Consider the following 20,514-nt stretch of genomic DNA (forward strand, 5'->3'; position numbering starts at 1 on the left):
AAATGAAAGATGCATTTTAATGAAATTGAAGTTAAAGAAGAAAGAAATGAAAAAGAAAGAAGTTCAAAGGGATGAGGAGAAGAAAAGACAGATGGTAATATGACTGTCCTCTAAAGGAAATGGTTTCTGTTGCTAGGTTTTTCCACTTAGCTAAAGTCATCAGCTGTTTGATGAATAGACAATAGTTTGGATTAAAAAATATTTAAAATTCTTTTATTGTTCACATTCAAGATTTAAACATGAAGGCCATTAGAAATGAATAGGGGCAAATCAAGAGTTCTAGGGCACTGGAAGCATGTCAGGAGAAAAGACCTCTGTTTCCTTCTTATTACAAAATGCTCTCTGAACAGGCCCTCCTCATTCTAAAGATGTATGAGTCTGATTTTATTAATATCATTGAAGTAACTTTCCCTTTCATTTCTCCTAAAGTATCCCTCGAGCCAATGAAAAAGCAAATGAATTGCAAGGTTATTTTTCTTAAAATAGGACCATCGTCTTTTGAAATACACAGGATTTTAATTTTAAAATACTTTGTGAATTATATTTTCCCCATGATTGCCTTCAAACAGAGGGTACTTTTTCTCATAATCATTATTGGGAACAGTGTGGCTACGAGATCAAAGAAATAATATCATAGAAATAATATGGTCACATTTACGTAGAAATAATAATCCTGGAATTGTTTTCTTTTTCTTTTTTGAGACAAAATCTAACTCTGTCATCACCTAGGCTGGAGTGAGGTGATGCTACCCCAGCTCACTGCAACCTCCACCTCCTGAATTTAAGTGATTTTTTTCTGCCTCAGCCTCCTGAGTAACTGGGATTACAGGTACCTGCCACCACACCCAGCTAATTTTTGTATTTTTAGTAGAGAGGGGTTTCATCATGTTGGCCAGACTGGTCTCGAACTCCTGCCCTCAAGTGATCCGCCCACCACAGCCTCCCAAAGTGCTAGGATTATAGGCATGAGCCACCGCGCCAGACCCCAAATTTTATTTTTTATTCATATATTCTCCACTGTCTCAGCTGGCATTAATGAATCTTAAGTTTGCTTTTACTGTATCATAATTTTGAAAGTGCCTAGTAAGGAGGGGTTATTAGTGTCCTGATGTATTTCAGAAGCAGCAAACTAATCATCTTTGAATAGTGGTAGATATCTTTTCAGGTAGAAAAATTTCATCAGTAATGCCAATAAGTACAAATATAGGCTCTAATGATTTCTTTTAATATTTCTGGAAAGTAATTAGATTATATATCTGTGATAGAATATAATACTAAGTATTAGACTGTAGAAGGCTTTGTTTCAAGGTGGTTTATTCATTCATGTTACTACCTACCTCAATCATAACATCAGTAAGACCTCAATGATCTAAATATTTGGGCTTTGTAAATCCTGAATTACTTAGGTCTCTGCTACTGGAAAGTGAATATCAAAAATTGTCTATTTAAGAAAAAAAGTAGTTTTTATAATCTGAGTTGTATACTGGACCCATAGAGATCATTTTAAATGTAGCAATGAATAGAGATTGGATAAAAACAATGTTAAAAATTCTTTTCTAATTCAAGTTCAAATTTTAAAAATTTGAAAGGCATGTTTTAGTGTATAAATAATAGAAAAGTTGTTGACAGTTGTTTGTTTTGCAGTCAGCAAGTGGTAAGAATCTTTGGAGAGACAACAGGAGAATAAAAGCCGAAACATGCGTATATACAAAATGAAATATGAATGTGAGCTTAGAGGCTACACGTGGTCTCTCGGATACTAGAACTATCTTTCTTGCCTTGGACCAGCTAACGTGCCTTGGTTGCGCCAGTGTACTGAGCCCTGTGGACATCACCTCATTAAATATTCAATAAATGTTATTTTTTTCCTATTGCCTTTCTCTCTTCTATATGAGAATCTGTAAGTATTCGCCGAAGGCTTTTCTTTTGCTTTTGTGAATACCTTCACACCATGTTGTATTCTGTCTTGGTTAGTTAAAAAAAAAAAAAAAGTTGGCCAGGCACAGTGGCTTGCACCTGTAATCCCAGCACTTTGGGAGGCCGAGGCAGGCGGATCACCTGAGGTTGGGAGTTCGAGACCAACCTGACCAACATGGAGAAACCCGTCTCTACTAAAAATACAAAATTATCCGGTCATGGTGGCACGCGCCTATGATCCCACCTACTCGGGAGGCTAAGGCAAGAGAATTGCTTGAACCCGTGAGGCAGAGGTTGCAGTGAACCGAGATTGCGCCACTGCACTCCAGCCTGGGTGACTGAGGGAGACTCTGTCTCAAAATAAATAAATAAATAAAAGGTTAATTATATTTCTTGTTATGAGACAAATGAAGTATTTCACATTTTCCATTGAGGATAGCATGTAACGCAGGTTTTTCTCTTATAGGTTGTGGGACTGGAAAATATCTTAAAGTGAACAGCCAGGTACATACCGTGGGCTGTGACTACTGTGGGCCACTGGTAGAGATTGCCCGGAATAGAGGATGTGAAGCCATGGTATGTGACAACCTTAATCTCCCCTTTAGGGATGAGGGCTTCGATGCCATCATCTCCATAGGAGGTAAGGCAGCCAGATCACACATTCACCCTTTGCCATGAGAATAATTGACCCGGTTTAGTCCGTTCTCATGACTCAACATCCGTTCTGTGTAGAAATGTCAATGTAATTTATTTTATCTAATTTAAAAAAATTGTTTCAACTACTTGACTGATTTGACTTAACTCCAAAATGTATTTATGGCACATATGATTGTTTTAACTATTTAAACCTTCAACTTGGTATTGCAGTTTTTTTATGATTCATTCCAATTTCTTTTGAGTAAGAAAGGATTAGAGGAATCTTACTCATTGAAAATAGCACTTCATTATATTTAAATGAAGCCAGATTAATCCAAAGCAAAGTAGATTTTTAGAAGTTATATTACCATTTTTTAGGCCAAAATAGTGGCCTTTGTTAACAGAGAATTCTAGGGCTAACAAACCAAATGTCACCTGGACCAATCTGCCACTCACTGGTACTCAAGTTCATGGAGAAGGTAGGTCCCATCTGGTCTTGGATTGCATTGTTTTTATAATGCCACTCTGCTCATTTGCTGCCAGAGATCGTTCATGAGTCTAGGGAATGTGTTTCTCATATCCTCCCAACAAGTGTGACCAGAAAACACACATGCCAAAAAATGGGGGGAAAAAATCCATGCCTGAAATACATGCAGGTAAGGAATACATGACATCTGCCATATTTAAATATGCAGGGAAACTTGATATTTAATGGAATCCTATGACAAGGTTTTTTTTGTTTGTTTGTTTTGCAATGGAAAAATATTTTGCAAGGCAAATTACTTGTCCCAATACACTCTTAAAAATCAACCTATTTGGCCGGGTGCAGCGGCTCATGCCTGTAATCCCAACCCTTTGGGAGGCCGAAGTGGGTGTATCAGGAGGTCAGGAGATCGAGACCAGCCTGGCCAACATGTGAAACCCCATCTCTACTAAAAATACAAAAATTAGCCGGGCATGGTACAAGCGCCTGTAGTCCCAGCTACTCAGGAGGCTGAGGCAGGAGAATCGCTTGAACCTGGAAGGCGGAGGGTGCAGTGAGCTGAGATCACACCACTGCACTCCAGCCTGGATGACAAGAGTGAGACTCATCTCAAAAAAATAAAAAAAATAAAAACTATTTGATTAATAAGTTTTATCCAAGAAAGATGATCTTTTATAAAATGGAGTTATTCATAACAAAATTGCAGAATAAGATGATTTGCTCTTTTCCTAAAATAGATGAAAGATTGATTTATCCAACATTAGGTGGGGACTATTTCTTCGTATGCTGAGGGGAGGCAGACCTGGAAGCCATAACCTTGGAACTAGTAAGGACTGGCAAGAGATGGTTGCTATGGAAACTTGCTCTCTGATAGTCTCATTTGCAGTTGAAACTGTTAGATCCATTTTGGTTGTAAGCATTAAGAGGATTGTCTTAGCCTTTGCAGCCTGCTATAGCAAAATACCATAGACTTCGCTTAAACAACAGACATTTATTTCTCACCGTTCTGGAGGCTGGACATCTGAGATCAGGGTGCCAGCAGGGTAAGGTTCTGGTAGGGACCCTCCTACCAGGTTGCAGATGGCTTAATTCTTGCTGCATCATCACGTGAAATGCGGCAGGAGACTGGAAGAAGAAGGGGAGAATGAGAGAGATAGAGCAAGCTCTCTGGTCTCTTCTTATAAATAGGCCATTAAGCCCATAATGGGGGCCCCACTCTCACAACTTCATCTAAACCTCCTAAAGTTCTGCCTCCTAATACCTTCATACTGGGGGTTAGGGCTTCGACATGTTGGTCTCAGAGGCCACAAACATTCAGTCTATAACCCGGAGAAAACCTTTTTGAATTAAGCAACACTATACAATGCTTTGAATCTTTAGTGGAAAAAGGTTTTGGCTTGGTCATTCCACTTAACTAGAAATTGGAGAAAGGTCAAAGAAATGGGCCGGGCGCGGTGACTCAGGCCTGTAATCCTAGCACTTTGGGAGGCCAAGGTGGGTGGATCACAAGGTCAGGAGTTCAAGACCAGCCTGGCCAAGAAGGTGAAACCCCGTCTCTACTAAAAATGCAAAAATTAGCCGGGCATGGTGGTGAGCACTTGTAATCCCACTACTTGGGAAGCTGAGGCAGGGAATTGCTTGAACCCAGAAGGAAGAGGTTGCAGTGAGCCAAGATCATGCCACTGCACTCCAGCCTAAGCAACAGAGTGAGACTCCATCTGAAATAAATAAATAAATAAATAAATAAATAAATAAATAAATAAAATAAAAAGTCAAAGAAATCTGTGGACTGCTTGGTCTTCTTTTGTCTACACTCATTTTATTTTTTATTTTTTTAACTAAACCTTCAAATTGTTATTGGATTTTTTTAATGATTCAAGAATTTTTTATTTTTATTTTTTATTTTTCGAAGCAATGTTTTTTTAGATGTCTTGTTACATCTTGATATTTTATCATTTGTTGTCATTTAACTTTTCAAGTGTACATGTCTCGCCTCCCTAACCTTCAGCATTTAGAATCCGCAGGTTTAGCGTAAAGTGAGACCAATTTTTTTATTGGTCTCACTCTTATCACCCTGGTTGGAGTGCAATGGCAGCCTCTACCTCCTGGTCTCAGGTTATCCTCCTGCCTCAGCCTCCCAAGTAGCTGGGACTACAAGCACACATCACCATGCCTGGCTAATTTTTTCTAATTTTTTTTGTAGAGATGGGGTTGCCATATTGTCCAGGCTGGTCCTGAAGTCCAGGGCTCAACCAGTCCACCTGCCTTGGCCTCCCAAAGTGTTGTGATTACAGGCATGAACTACCACGCCCAGGCTAAATTCCTTGTAGTCTGCAAGGCCACCTATATCCAGACCATTCCACTGAGACACTGGTGAAGGAAGGGGATATAGACCACCTTTCCTATGCTTGGGAAACACTCCATGCTTATCTGGCTAAGTCCTCTATTTTCAGTTTACATCTCATGCCTTGCCCTCAGAGAAAATGGAGCACACCTAGTTACCATCTTCGAATTAAAAATGCTTCCTTGAGTGGAAAACAGCACGCGTTTTTATGATCTGTAACTACGAATTAATGTGATGTGGTTATTTTCAGTTCGAGTTCACATTTAGGACTATATTATGGTAGCCAGGCATGGTGACGGGCACCTGAATTCCCAGCTACTTTGGGAGGCTGGGGTGAGAGGATCCTTTGAGTTCAGGAGTTTGAGTCCAGCCTGGGCAACCTAAAGAGAACTTGTCCCTAAAAATCATATGGGTATATATATATGATATATATATATATACATATAACATAAATATAAGGGACCCTGTACCTGAAAATCATATATATAAACATATATAAATATAAATGTGAAATATATATTTATATATATAAAATATAAATGTGAAATATATATTATATATAAAATATAAATGTGAAATATATATTTATATATATAAATATATTTGTGTGTTTATATAACTAGATGAGGCATAAGAGAGATAGTCTATTGAAATTTCTCTTATATGACATATATAAGGACCTATATTATGAGAAATATATATAAATATATAAATATAAATAATATATATAAAAGGAAGTATACTATGAGAAATTTCAATAGACTGTCTCTCTTATGTCCCTATATATTTACTTCTCTATTTAAAGTTCTTATGTTGGCACTTCCTGCTTAACAGGAAGAAATATATAAGTATATATATATTTGCTTTTCCACATCTTTTAATAATAATGTGAGCTTAGCATCATACCTGGTTATGCCTTCATTTTATTGGCATATTAGAAAAAGAAATATTGTTGTACTTACTTTTGGAATAGTCTGATAAACATCCTAGGGAAAAGTGGTGGCGCATTAACATAGGAGCAATCAACAATGCCCTTCAGGCTAGTGCTTCTCAACTGGGGGTTACGTTGCTCCTTCCCCCTTTCCCCAGAGGACATGAGCAATGTCTGGAGACATTTTTAATTGTCACAACTGGATATGTTTATGTATGTACGTGTAATATCATCTAGTATGTGGGCCCCCACAATAAAGAATTATACACTTTGGGAGACTGAGGCAGGCGGATCACAAGGTCAGGAGTTTGAGACCAGCCTGGCCAATATGGTGAAACCCCATCTGTACTAAAAATAGAAACTTGGCCGGGCATAGTAGTGCATGCCTGTAATCTCAGCTACTCAGGAGGCTGAGGTAGAAGAATTGCTTGAACCCAGGAGGCAGAGGTTGCAGTGAACCAGGTCACACCACTGCACTCCAGCCTGGGCGACAGAGCAAGACTGCGTCTCAAAAAAACCCCGAATTATCTAGCCCAAAATGTCAATAGTACTGATGTTTAAAAAAAATCTGCTTTATGCTAAACCTGCAGATTCTGAATGCTGAAGTTTAGAGAGGCGAGGCATGTACACTTGAAAAGTTAAATGTCAACAAATGATGAAATATCAAGATGTAACAAGACATTCAAGGAGATCATGTGTAACTTCTCATCTGAATCTGGAATCCAGTAATTGAATTCAACCTACCTACTGTCTGGGCTCTCAGCAGGAAAATACTGCTTTAGGATGCATATATTGAGTACTACTTTTGCCTTTAAGTTGTGATTATGATTTTTTAAACAAAAGGGACTTTAAAAAATTCAACATAGTTTCCAGACATTGATATTTCGGATAAATATATTCTCACTTCCCATTTTAGATACATTTACAATGTTTCTTAATAGAACATGTATGCGTATGCATGTCTAATACATTTAATATGTAATGAAGTAATCATTTGTAGGCTTTTTTTTTTTTTTTTTGAGACAGTGTCTTACTCTGTCACCCAGGTTGGAGTACAGTGGCATGATCTTGACTCACTTCAACCTCTGCCTCCTGGGCTCTAGAGATTCTCTCACATCAGTTTCCTGAGTAACTTGGACCATAGACACACACCACCACGCCCAGCTAATTTTTTTTATTTTTTATTTTTTTGGTAGAGATGGGGTTTCACTATGTTGCCCAGGCTGGTCTTGAACCCCTGAGCTCAAGTGATCCGCCCACCTCAGCCCCTCAAAGTGCTGGAATTACAGGTGTGAGGCACCATCCGTGGCCAGCTATTTTTTTCTTAAGAACATTTGGCTTAAAGGCTGTTACTTATTACACTTTAAGTATAAATATAAAACATAATATGAACGACTGATATTCCTGGGTGAAATTATGCTGTTACATCTGATAAGAAAGGAATGGTCACTTAAGCATTAATAAATGAATAAATAAGGACTTTCTTAAAAAAAAAAAAAAAAAACTTGGCCAGGCGTGGTGGTTCATGCCTGCAATCCCAGCACTTTGGGAGGCTGAGGCAGGAGGATGGCTTGAGCCCAGGAGTTCGATACCAGCCTGGGCAACATGGCAAAACTCCATCTCTACAAAAAATACAAAAATTAGCTGGGTGTGGTGATATATACCTGTGGTCCCAGCTACTCAGGAGGCTGAGAGAGGAGAATCACCTGAACTCAGAAGGCAGAGGCTGCAGCAAGCTGAGATGGAGCCACTACATCCTGGGTGACAGAGCAAGACCCTGTCTCAAAAAAAAAAAAACGACAACAAAGAAAAAAACCTACTTTGAAGTCCAATCAAATTCTGAATGTTGATGTATGAGTCTACTGAAAAGAGACCATTTTATTAAAATAGTCCCGTTTTAAAGGTTTTTTTGTCTTATACCACCCCCCAAAAAATAGTCAATTATCATTATCTACAGTAGTCATGTTCTATAAAGTCTCTGTGAACACTGAATTAATAAATTCAGTGGAATATAGAATCCCAAGAGGCATACAGCGGTTTCTGTGAGCCTCTGATCACAACATTTTTGTCAGCTGAACAACATATTGTCTTGTTTTATGTGTGTTTCTGTTTAAAGACAGTTTATTTCATTTTAAACTCATACCAACAGCACTGCAACTCATGCCTGAACGAAGTTATCTAACTCGTATTTTCTCCATAAGGTGCATCACAGTCTTCCAAGGCTTAGAAACACTAAATAATACCTCAACACTATGTTTGGAGGCGATTTCAAATAGCAAAATCACCAACAAGAAGCACAAACATGCAGAAAATGTGGCACAAAATAGATCACAAAAAGAACCCTTGATTACAGTATTAGAGTTGAAATAAGAAGAAAGAACATTACTTTGTTTCATCTCAGCTGGGAATATTTGCACTGAGAGGCTCAAGTTGCCCCTCTGCATTCGTCAGTGAATGACCATGAAAGTCTGGAGTATTGATTTGGGGGATTACAATTTGGGGAGTATTGATTTGGGGGCGATTTGTTATCAAGTGGGCAAATTCGCAAATACAGAATCCATGAATAATGAAGATGGATTGTATTTAGAAAATACACCCATAGAAGACGCTCTAAAGTGAATTAGGTGCAAGTTATGGGAGATACATACATATGGGAGATACATTTATATGAGTGTGTATATATAGATACATATATTTGAGACAGCGTCTCACTCTGTTGGCCAGACTGGACTGCAGTGGCATGATCATGGCCCACTGCAAACTCGACCTCCCTGGCTCAAATGATCTTCCCACTTCAGCCTCCTGAGTAGCTGGAACTACAGGCACACACCAATGCACCCAGTTAATTTTTTTATATTTTTTGTAGAGATGGGGTTTTGCCATGTTGCCCAGGCTGGTCTCAAACTCCTGGCCTCAAGAGTTCCGCCCACCTCAGCCTCCCAAAGTGCTGGGATTACTGGCATGAGCCACTGCACACAGCACGGGAGATATTAATGGCCCTTAGTAACCGTGGATAAATGTGAGCATTAGCAGTGGATTGAGTCTTTCTCAGTCCTGACTGCTATACCTCCTTAGCTTAGTAATCAGGACTCTACTTCTAGAAAGGTATGCTTTCAAATGAGCCATATTAAAGGACTCTTCTTTTCGGGAGTGGGTGGCAGCAGTCTGAGGCCAGGAGGGTAGAGTGATTGTTTAAAGATCACAAAACTAGTTACCGAAAGTTCTAGCAGAATGAAATACACTGGTGTGTTGTTCTTCAAACCCATTTCACCCTCACACCTCTGGCTTTCTTACATTACTGCATGGTAGAGATACCAAGGTTTGTGTGCTGTTGATAGGAATGAAAACTTGATTGCTAACGATACAAAATGTATCTGTTGAGTGATATTTCTTTACTAGTTTGATCTGTACACAACCCCATTTTTGATATTTAATATGCCTCTGTGGAAGGTAAACTACAAAGATTAGTTTGCCTAAAATCACCACTAACAGTTGGATTATTTTGACCCTTAGAGCAACCCTCTCAGGCTCTGTCTCTGCCCTCACAGCTCATATCAAAACAAGAATCTTCCAATTTTGCTTGAGATTAATTTCCTCACTGATATATTGGTGCATCTATGTAGGGAAAAATAATTTGAAGTTTTCTCTTGACACAATACCGTGATTATACTCCCTCAAAAACTAACAGACTAGCACTTTTATTGGCAGATAAAATTATGCCTAATAACACACTTATGACTTGATAAAGGCAGTCTTACTTGAAGCTCATTTCGACTTTGCAGGAATTGGAAGTAAAATGATGATGTATACATTGATTTTTTAAATAGACACAACTATTTTATATCTTATTATAAGCAACCAATTGGACTTGGGGTGAGCTGCTGATCTTTGCATTATCTAGACAGAGAAACAATCTTTAACATATTTCTGTACTTCTCAGCTATTACTTTAGAAGTACAAATTGTTCATTAAAACAATGAATTACCTCATAGAATTCAAAGGGAACATTTAATATCTCTTTCAAATTTTAGTAATTCACATTGACCATCCTTCTGGTTAAAAAAAATCCATAGTATTTTGGAACTGGAAGAGACTTTATGGATTTATGGACTCTAGACTTCTTCTTATAGAGGAAGAAACTTAAAATCTGTAGAACTTAAATATCTTGCCCAAGATCAGCCATCTAATATTAAAAGTACAGGAGCCAAAGCTAAAATTTATGTTTCTCCTAAAATCAGTCCTGTGTTATTTCTGTCATCATCGTTGCCATGGAGGAAATAAGAAGGTTTCATTAGATGTCAAAATTTCATCCTTGTTATATGGTAAACACCAGTGTATACGTGTGTGGGTTTATGTGTGTGCATACACACTGAGATCTAGTTTTGTCTTTTTCAGTCATACATCATTTTTCTACAAAACAAAGAAGAATCAGAGCAATAAAAGAAATGGCCAGGGTCTTAGTTCCCGGAGGCCAACTGATGATTTACGTTTGGGCAATGGAACAAAAGAACCGTCACTTTGAGAAGCAAGACGTGCTTGTTCCATGGAACAGGGCTCTGTGTTCCCAGCTCTTCTCAGAGTCCAGCCAGTCTGGGAGGAAGAGGCAGTGTGGATACCCAGAAAGAGGCCATCCCTACCATCCTCCTTGCTCTGAGTGTAGCTGTTCTGTTTGTTTTAAAGAGCAGTGTGGTTCAAAACGGTCCCACAGCGTGGGCTATGAACCTGCTATGGCAAGAACCTGTTTTGCAAATATTTCTAAGGAAGGCGAGGAAGAATATGGATTTTACAGCACATTAGGAAAATCGTTTCGTTCCTGGTTTTTCTCCAGATCTTTGGATGAATCGACTCTGAGGAAGCAAATTGAAAGAGTAAGACCCTTGAAAAACACAGAAGTTTGGGCCAGTAGCACTGTAACAGTCCAGCCTTCCAGACACTCTAGTTTAGACTTTGATCACCAAGAGCCATTTTCAACAAAAGGGCAAAGTTTAGATGAGGAAGTGTTTGTGGAATCTTCTTCTGGAAAACACTTGGAGTGGCTGAGAGCACCAGGCACTCTGAAACATTTAAATGGAGACCATCAAGGGGAAATGAGGAGAAATGGAGGGGGAAATTTTCTGGATAGCACTAATACTGGTGTGAATTGTGTGGATGCAGGCAACATAGAAGATGATAATCCTTCTGCTAGTAAAATATTGAGAAGGATTTCTGCAGTTGATTCCACAGATTTCAACCCAGATGATACAATGTCTGTCGAAGATCCACAGACTGATGTTTTGGACTCCACAGCCTTTATGCGCTACTACCATGTGTTTCGAGAAGGGGAGCTCTGCAGTCTGCTCAAGGAGAATGTGTCAGAGCTCCGTATCCTGAGTTCTGGGAATGATCATGGTAACTGGTGTATCATTGCAGAGAAAAAGAGAGGTTGTGATTGATTGGATCCTTTTAGACAACTCCTCCAAAAGATGAACCACATTCTTTCCTCTTGGTTTGATATGGTTACCTGAATTTGCATTCAGTGTTATTTGTTAATCCATTTACGCTTTGGTCTGCAGAGACTATTAATTATTTGGTTGTTTTGTTTTCATTTTTGAATAAGCACAGATTCTGGCATTGAAAGCACTTGACAAAGGGTATTTGTGCTTAAATGTTAATATACAAGATCTGAAGAAGCAACAGAAAGTACCCTTCAGTACACCTCAGACTTTTTTTTAACCCCAGAGAGATAAAATACATGTATAGTGTTTTTCAGTATTACACATTGATTTAAAAAGATTATGCTGTTAAATAATCTTTTAAAACGGTATTTTTATAAAGTGAGGGGATAATTTCTGGTTCTCAGGTTATAACTGAGAGCAGTGTGCAAGATAATAGGTAAATTTGATCCATTGCACAGATATACTTTGAACCATGTGATGAGTTATCTTGTTGCCAAGGCCTTGCTTCTACTTAAAGTTTTCAGAAAACTGAGTGACAGTGGAGAGAAACAAGAAGTTTTACAAGGACTTTACTAAATTATAAGCAAACTTGCTTCAAAATAAGTTGACATGTGATAATAAGGTTTTCAATGTAGCCCAGGAGGTTTTTAAAGGCACTGTTAGGCTGAGCATGGTGGCTCATGCCTGTAATCCCAGCACTTTGGGAGGCCAAGGCAGAAGGATCACTTGAACCCAGGAGTTCAAGAATAGCCTGGGCAACATAGCAAGACCCCATCTCTATAAAAATTAGCAAGATGTGGTGGTGCATGCCTGTCATCCAAGCTACTCAAGAGACTGAGGCAGGAGGATCACGTGAGCCCAGGAATTCAAGGCTGCAGTGAACTATGATTGCATCACTGCACTGCAGCCTGGGCAACATAGCAAGACTCTGTCTCAAAATAATAATAATAATAATAATAAAGGCGTTGTTAGCTTGTAAGGAGTGGAGTATGTAGGTAGTAGGAGTTATATGCAAGTACCCAAGTGGTATTCTTCCAATCTTATTAGAAGCATGAATATTCAAGATTGATATTACTATTGCTTATTAGCAAGATTGTTATCAATCATGCTTATTAGAAGGATGAATATCCAAGACCAAGATTGACTAATGATGAGTCTGCATCAAGAACTAGGCATTTCTTCTGAGTTGACGGACTCTTTAGGAAAGGAGAATCTAAGTGAAGCACTGATTTTAGCTCTGAGAACAAACAAATTAAGGTACAGCATAGTTAGCCTTGGTAGAGGTATGACTTGGATTTGCTGTATCCTTTAAAATAGTATCTGGGCATTTATTTTATTGAAGGTGACTACATTTTATTAGTTATATTAGGAATTTAGGTAGAATCAACTTCTACTGATTACAGGTTGAATTTCTGTCACTTTGTAGAGAAACGAATAGACTGGACACTGTGTGGTCACTGTTTAGATTTGCCCATGGGTCTCTTTAAATCTATGTCATGGATCCTGAGACACAAATATAATTAAGACAGGTCTAGAGACAGGAGAAGCAGAAATAAGTTGACCCAGGAGTACAGTCTCAAGTAGTTCATTAATGAGAAAATTGACATCTGACAAGAGTCTTTTTACTTTATGCTGGATGAAAATCCAAATCTTGTTTTATTTTTTCCACTAAAAGTGACTAAAATAATAACGAATTTCATTTGTTCTTGGGTTCTTTTTTCCTTTAATGATTGTGCTATAACTTAAAATAATGATGTTACTTTTGAACAAACTTAAAGAAATATTTTTAAAGCGTATCTGAAAACGATTGATGTTTATAACTCTCTTTTGGCTTCAAAATAAGATTGTGTTATCACCATTTTGGTAGATGAGGTTGTCTGGTGAAAATGATGCATATGAGTTGTACTGTTCAGTGTACATCCTGCAGTAGTGGATGATTGAAAACATATATAAGTGGAGTATAAATTAAAAATTAATTTGGTTTCTTCTATTTCTTTTTTTTTTTTTTTTTTTTGAGACAGAGTCTCGCTCTGTCGCCCAGGCTGGAGTGCACTGGCGCGATCTCGGCTCACTGTAAGCTCCGCCTCCCGGGTTCACGCCATCCTCCTGCCTCAGCCTCCCAAGTAGCTGGGACTACTGGCACCCACCACGACGCCCGGCTGTTTTTTTGTATTTTTAGGAGAGACGGGGTTTCACCGTGTTAGCCAGGATGGTCTCGATCTCCTGACGTCGTGATCCACCCGCCTCGGCCCCCCACAGTGCTGGGATTACAGGCGTGAGCCACCGCGCCCGGCCTGTTCCTTTTATTTCTTAATTCAGGACACTAAACCATGACTGCAAGGGATTTCCTTGGTAAAAAGAAAAGATTCTCAGAGTCAAAATGGTCTTACAACTCGGGCTTGACGGCCTTTGAATTATGAATGGATTGTTCCTCTCTCTGAAGCCTATTGTCACATGGGTTTTTAATCCTGGCCTTGCTGCTAGAAATCTGTGCTTGAAGTCCTCTCTTTCTGCTGCTAGCCTACCAGTTAAAAGTCAAGACTTGGTGGAACTCAGTTTACCAGACTCTTTAGCCTTTGAGCTAAACTGTCTGAGCAACCTCTTAGATGTGCACACACCACTTTGTATGAAAGGGTTCTCTAGAACGGTTCTTTGGAGAGAAATATTTTCATGTACGTTTGACAGGGGTGTAAATAAAGCATGCTGACTAATAAGTCTTTTACTCTTCATCTAATGAACATAAGAATCTATGCATCCAGATATTATTTTGTATACAAATATTTAATTTGGTGATTGATAATCTCTCTTTGGGGTAGTCACATGGAAAGCTCTTTTAAATTTAACTTCCGCCTTTGGATTTTTTTTAAAAAGCCATTGAAGAGCAAAACTAATGTAAACGTCTTGATCATTTAAAAAGCTTGCTTGTCCTCGAAAGGAAACACAGGTCATCAGTGAGTATAAACGTAGACAGTTGATTTGTGAATGCTGTCGGCCTCAACTTGCTTGATGATAGATTCTACTGACCTAGCTGGAGTAATCTGATCACTTACTTCCTTATTAATACTAGATCACACAGTGTCTTTCTTATTCCTTCTTCTTTACTTACTGGCATCAGCACAGAGTCCCACTATCTGAAATAGAAGGGAGAGTTTGGGGGTTTATTGGAGGAGTCTTAAAAACTTGGTTGGCAGCTGGGTACGATGACTCACACCTGTACTCCCAGCACTTCAGGAAGCTGAGGTGGGTGGATCAGCTGAGGTCAGGAGTTTGAGACCAGCCTGACCAACATGGTGAAACCCCGTCTTTATTAAATACAAAAAATTAGCCAGGTTGGTGGCGCATGCCTGTAATCCCAGCTACTTGGGAGGCTGAGGCAGGAGAATCGCTTGAACCTGGGAGGCGGAGGTTGCAGTGAGCCGAGATTGTGCCATTGCACTCCAACCTGGGCAACAAGAGTGAAACTCCATCTCCAACAAAACAAAACTTTGCTGGCTTCCTGATGCCTCACTGTCTATTTGAGGAATTCCACAGAATCTTCAAAGGATTTGGGGGAAAGCGCATTAACATGGACAAAGGATGGAATCAAAATAATGTTATAGTGAGAATCATTCAAGCACCTATTTAAATTTTTTCCAATTGCCAGTATAGTGATGATATGACACCAGCATATCAAAGTAACTAACAAACTAGCTACACAAACGTCTTGGAGTTTGGTTTCGTTCTCTTTTCTCATCATAGATCTCCGTGCAGAATAGTGCTAATTCTTATTTCTCGTTTGCCTTTCTATTTCCTTCCAAATTCTACATGCCAGTAATTCCTCTGTCTTTTAAGTGACCATCAATTCAATAGGCAAAAATTTGGAGTAATCCAGAGAAAAAACCATCCAAATATAAACCAGCTAGGAACATGAATGCCCCTGATTATTAATGGCCAAAAAAAAAGCACTGGTGGATTTTAAATTAAATTAATACATATATACGAGTTTGGAGGAGAACAGAAGTTCTAACTCAGTACTTGAACTTGGTGGGGGAGGGCACAGGTTAAATATGAGCTGTGAGCCCCCAGTTTTGGAGGAAGGAGGAAATGGGAACCAACCACCAGACAAGCAGCTGCAGTCTAAGAAAAACAAATTAGGGCAGGCCTCAGCATCTCTTTCCTATTACATAGAAAATCTGAAATGAGAATAGCTGTGAACTTTTCTAAATATGCAACATTCAACTATCGCAAGGACAAAAAACCAAACACCGCATGTTCTCACTCATAGGTGGGAATTGAACAATGAGAACACATGGACACAGTAAGGGGAACATCACACACTGGGACCTGTTGTGACCCCGCTGAGGGAGTTCCTCTTGCCCTCTACCCCCGGGGCTTGTATATAGATTATAAATATATAAGGGGGAAAGGGGTGGGGGGGAGGGGTTGTGCGGCTGGGGCCTCACTTCCCCTCCTTCCCCTTCTCCTGGTCCCCTGTCCCAGGGGCTGTTTGTTAAAAAAGAGTAATAAAGGATTTTTGTTTTTAAAAAAAGCAACGTTCATTAATTTATATGCAGTCCTCACCACAGCCCTCCAAGATAACTATACTTATTGTTCCCATTTTGCAGATGAGGAAAACTGAGGCAGAAAGAAATTAAATTGCTTAAGGTTACACACATAGTAGGTATCACACATTTAGTTAGAGGCAGAGCTGGGATTCAAACCCAGGTCTGGCTCCTAGTCTCTGCTCTTAACCACAACACCATATACTCCCACCCCTGGGCCCAGCTCATGTGCTTGGCGGAGTATTAGAGCCTTTCAAGGTAAGTGTGATTATCCCCTTTCCAAATGAGCTTTGGAAAAGTTTAAGCAAAGATTACACAGCTAGACAATAATTCAATAGTAGTCTCTTACATATTTTCCCTTTTATCTTTTTTTCATTTGTAAATCTGTTTCGATTTGATTTGAATTAAAAAATAGTTCTTGGTTGCAAAATATTCTGGGACCACTTTTCTCCAACTCTTCAACCTTTCAACAATTATATTATTGTTTTCCCATTTTATAAGTAAGGCAACTGAGGACTATTCAGATATTTCATTCACTCCATTTGTTTACTAAGCCCTGCTGTGTGCTGGATACACAGTCTGCTGTGTGCTGGATACATATGATACAAGGTAATGACTATCTGGCATCTTGAAGGTACCCAGAATATTAGAATTAACTGACCCACAGGTGCCAAGCTGAAACATTCTTCGTATTCCCTGTGTGCCTATTACCAAGTTATATTGTTTAGTTTGAGGAAAACAACAAACAACCCTCCCTTAGAGAATCATGATGCATATTAGCATATTTAAGGAGTACCCTAAAGCTTGGACTTAATCTAGCTTACCCTAGACGTATTAACATCCTATAGCGCACGTGTTCTGTGGGATATATTTCAGAAAATAATATGTCTTACAGAATAAATGCAGACTCCTTTGGATGGCATTCAGGCCCTTCATAAAGTAACTCTGAATTATTTTTCAGTCTCATTTCCTGCAGTTGCACCCGATTTTTTCTGTTCTGCAATCTGCTATTTTAGACAAAGCTTTCATAAGAAATTACATAATGACAAGTAATTCCCACATTCCCTAGATATATACTTGGATTTCAAATGCCATAATTGTAATCTTTCTCCAAAGAAAAATGCACGATACAGGCTTCATTCTATCAAGAGGCATATGAGGTAAGCGTTATTATACACCCGTCCAGCAGATGGGAAAACCACGGAAGTGGGAGGGAATCAAGAAGCATTAACAGACCCTCCACCAACCGTAATGCTTAACTCCTCTTGTTCCAATCTTAACTCAAAATTATGATTATTTTGATTATTTAATGATTGTTTTGATAGTATAAACTCCATATCTGCAACCTCAGTTATCTACAACACTGAGGTGCAAACATTTAAAAAGATCTCTCACCAAACAAGGATTGAAATTGTATTGCAAATGAAAGAGCTCAGCATGAGAGCACAATCAGAAACTGAAGAGAGTTGATCAAAGAGAAGATTCTAGCTGAATTGTTCTATTTTTAATTCCCCAGGGATCCTACGGTCTATGACACATTAACAGGGGTGTGAATCATTTCAGTTACATCACATACTCTGTCCTCTTGTGGTGCGGGTCTTCCCCAGTTGATTATACACAGATAATCAATGACTTTATTTGGGAGGGATTGGAGCTATAGAATAATCTATCTTACCAATCTGATGGACCATTTGTAAGAGCTGTTTGTCAAATTGGATCTTCATTTGACAAATAAATACTAGAGCTGCAGAAAGTAAAGTTTACTCCAACCCAATTAATCATTAATACATCCACAGGAAAAATACATTTTCTCCACATGGAATATTGATTTTTCTATGAATATTACCTCCACATTGAAAAACGAGTGAGTCACTGCAGTTAAGCCAGTGTACCTTGATGTTGAATTCCCTGAAGAAGGTACAATTATATTTACATTCCCTTAGCAAGAATTTGGCTAAGTGATAAGCACTTTTCTCTTTTCTTTTCTTTTTTTTTTTTTTTTTTTGAGACAGTGTCTCACTCTGTCACCCAGGCTGGAGGGCAGTAGTGCAGTCTCAGCTCATTGCAACCTCTGCCTCCCAGGTTTAAGCAATTCTCGTGCCTCAGCCTCCTGAATAGCTGGGATTACAGGAACATGCCACCACTCCTGGCTAATTTTTGTATTTTTTTTTAAGTAAAGACAAACTTTCACCATGTTGGCCAGGCTGGTCTTGAACTCCTGACCTCTTACGAGCTAATCATACCACTTCTAACTAGATTTTCTATTAATGTACAAGGAGGGACTCCACTACTAAAGTTTGTTTTACTTCTCTGGTTATTTACACAAAACGCTGGCAATACATTAAGGCTCACTAATGTGGACCTAAGTGAGTATCTGAGAGGCTTTGAATATGTATGTGCAAACTGTCCTATTTTCTTTATATGCTCTCTTAAATATGTATGTCTGTAAATATATATATAACACACATATATATATATTCCTAGACATCTAGTGTTTGCTGTCATTAGTGACCAAGAAAAAGTAGTTCTTTTGTGCACGCGTGAATACATCAAATTAGCAATTACCATAGAAATGTATTTCATTGAATAAATAGCTTTTGTTTGTTTGTTTGTTTGTTTCAGGGAAATTTAGAACAATTATTAGATGTTATAGTGCCTCTTCTCGTGTTGATACGTGTATTTGGGTCAAAAGTGCAAAAACTTTTTTCTACAATGTACAGTTATTTTGACTTTTCCCAGGGGAAGCTAGCAATAGTTTTAAAAGCACAAAGTGATGTAAAATATTTTGACTTTTATAATAATGCGAAGTAGTTTTATTTGCATTAATCAATAATGTTCAGGATCTTTTTGTAGTAAGTATATTTTAAATGGTGTAATTTGTGTGTTTATGATATGTATTCAATTATTTAAGTTAAGTATCAGTGTATTTTTAAAAAGTGTTCCCAGGTGAACAAAAGTTTGCTTTTCTTCACCATTCTGTACAGGACAAGCATTATTCAGTTCACATAGTCAGCTCTCACTACACTTCAACAGAACGGGGCAAGTTCGTATTTGAATTCTGTTATATTTATCTAAGGGAAGCAAAATTAACCTTTTAATAATAGATTATCTTTAATGGTTATTAAAAGAATGTTATTGACCAAAAAGACATATTTTGAGATTAATAAAGATGTATTAGATTATCCAAAAGTGGATGTGTGCAAATGTGGTCCTAATCTAGAAATGATGTCATTTTTGTATGTTGCTTGGGAGGTAGGGAAGTTTGTTCTCTTTCCTGACCTGCTCCATCTGCAGCTTGTCAGCTCATTACCAGCATGGGGGTGTGAAGCAAGGGAGGATTTGTGCCCACCCTGCTGTGGCTCTCATGCCACTCAGAGGGGATGCAATCTTGCAGCAGATGGTGCCCTGGCATGGGGCAGCTTGACGGCTCCTCACCTGTGATGGAAGAAGATACTCCATCTCCCCGAGCATCAGATTGGCCCTCAGGTGGCTGCTTGAAAGACAAAAATGATGACAAATAAAATACACTCTGTGCTGACCTTTTGACAAGAATCAGTGAGACCTCAGTCCTGTGCTTCGTACTCTGCCAGAAACCTCCCAGTTTAAAAACATTGCTAATTATTGTCTTTAGAAGCCATCCCTTCTTCCATCTTCATGCTCCTTTTCTATTTTTGAAATATCTAAGCATAAATTTAGCTTTAAAATGATATACTTAACAGATGTATAGTGGGTTTTACAGTTTTCTCAATGGGTGAAATCAGAAGGAAAGTGTCAACGTCAGAACACTTCACTCCCCACCCCATCCCGGATGCAGGGCACAGAAGATAATCCCCGTGCAAGTGCACGTGTGTGCAAGGAAAAGCAGCAGATGCTTGGGATACCAGAAACCTTGGGAGCCACTGACTCCGAGAAGGAGTGACTTGCAAAGCCAAGAACCAGATCCATATGCTTCTTTCTGCATTCCTCCACACACACCTGTGTTTGCATTCCTCCAGGTAGCTGTCCTATGCATCCATCCAGATCTTTGTCACACTGCAGCCCACTCAGGTCCCATCGTCAAAGAAATGCCCCGATCCCACAGCTCCATGTTGATCTTCTCCTCCTTCACCATACGCCCTTTGCATTTAGGGTGTTTTACAGCACTACTCCTTTTACACCTTTACAATTTAGCAATTAAAAAACCATTCTGCATCATCCACAATTTTTCCCTTATGTGTGTACCAATT

General features: G+C 38.8%; 1 protein-coding gene and 1 long non-coding RNA gene across 7 annotated transcripts in view; one reads left to right on the forward strand and one right to left on the reverse strand.

Annotated features, from left to right (window-relative positions):
* TRMT9B (tRNA methyltransferase 9B (putative)) overlaps positions 1-19,477 on the forward strand; it is an 84,105-nt gene extending 64,628 nt beyond the window's left edge. The window contains exons 4-5 of one of the 2 annotated variants that reach the window (NM_020844.3): positions 2,384-2,557; positions 10,708-19,477. In NM_020844.3, coding sequence (NP_065895.2) covers positions 2,384-2,557; positions 10,708-11,744 — 1,211 coding nt within the window. In that variant the 3' untranslated portion in view covers positions 11,745-19,477. Of the gene's footprint in view, positions 1-1,963; positions 2,558-10,707 lie in introns of those variants that run through there. The other variant, NM_001099677.1, reaches the window with a different exon arrangement.
* LOC124901889 (uncharacterized) overlaps positions 1-20,514 on the reverse strand; it is a 51,754-nt gene that overhangs the window by 25,058 nt on the left and 6,182 nt on the right. For 3 of the 5 annotated variants that reach the window (XR_007060825.1, XR_007060829.1, XR_007060827.1), the window contains exons 3-4: positions 19,724-19,778; positions 4,040-4,162 (exon numbers count right to left, since the gene is read on the reverse strand). This is a non-coding gene — a long non-coding RNA (uncharacterized LOC124901889). Of the gene's footprint in view, positions 1-4,039; positions 4,163-19,723; positions 19,782-20,514 lie in introns of all 5 variants that reach the window. The other 2 variants (XR_007060826.1, XR_007060828.1) reach the window with 1 other exon arrangement.

This window comes from Homo sapiens, chromosome 8, assembly GCF_000001405.40.
Source record: "Homo sapiens chromosome 8, GRCh38.p14 Primary Assembly".
In the NCBI taxonomy this organism is placed as follows: Eukaryota; Metazoa; Chordata; class Mammalia; order Primates; family Hominidae; genus Homo; species Homo sapiens.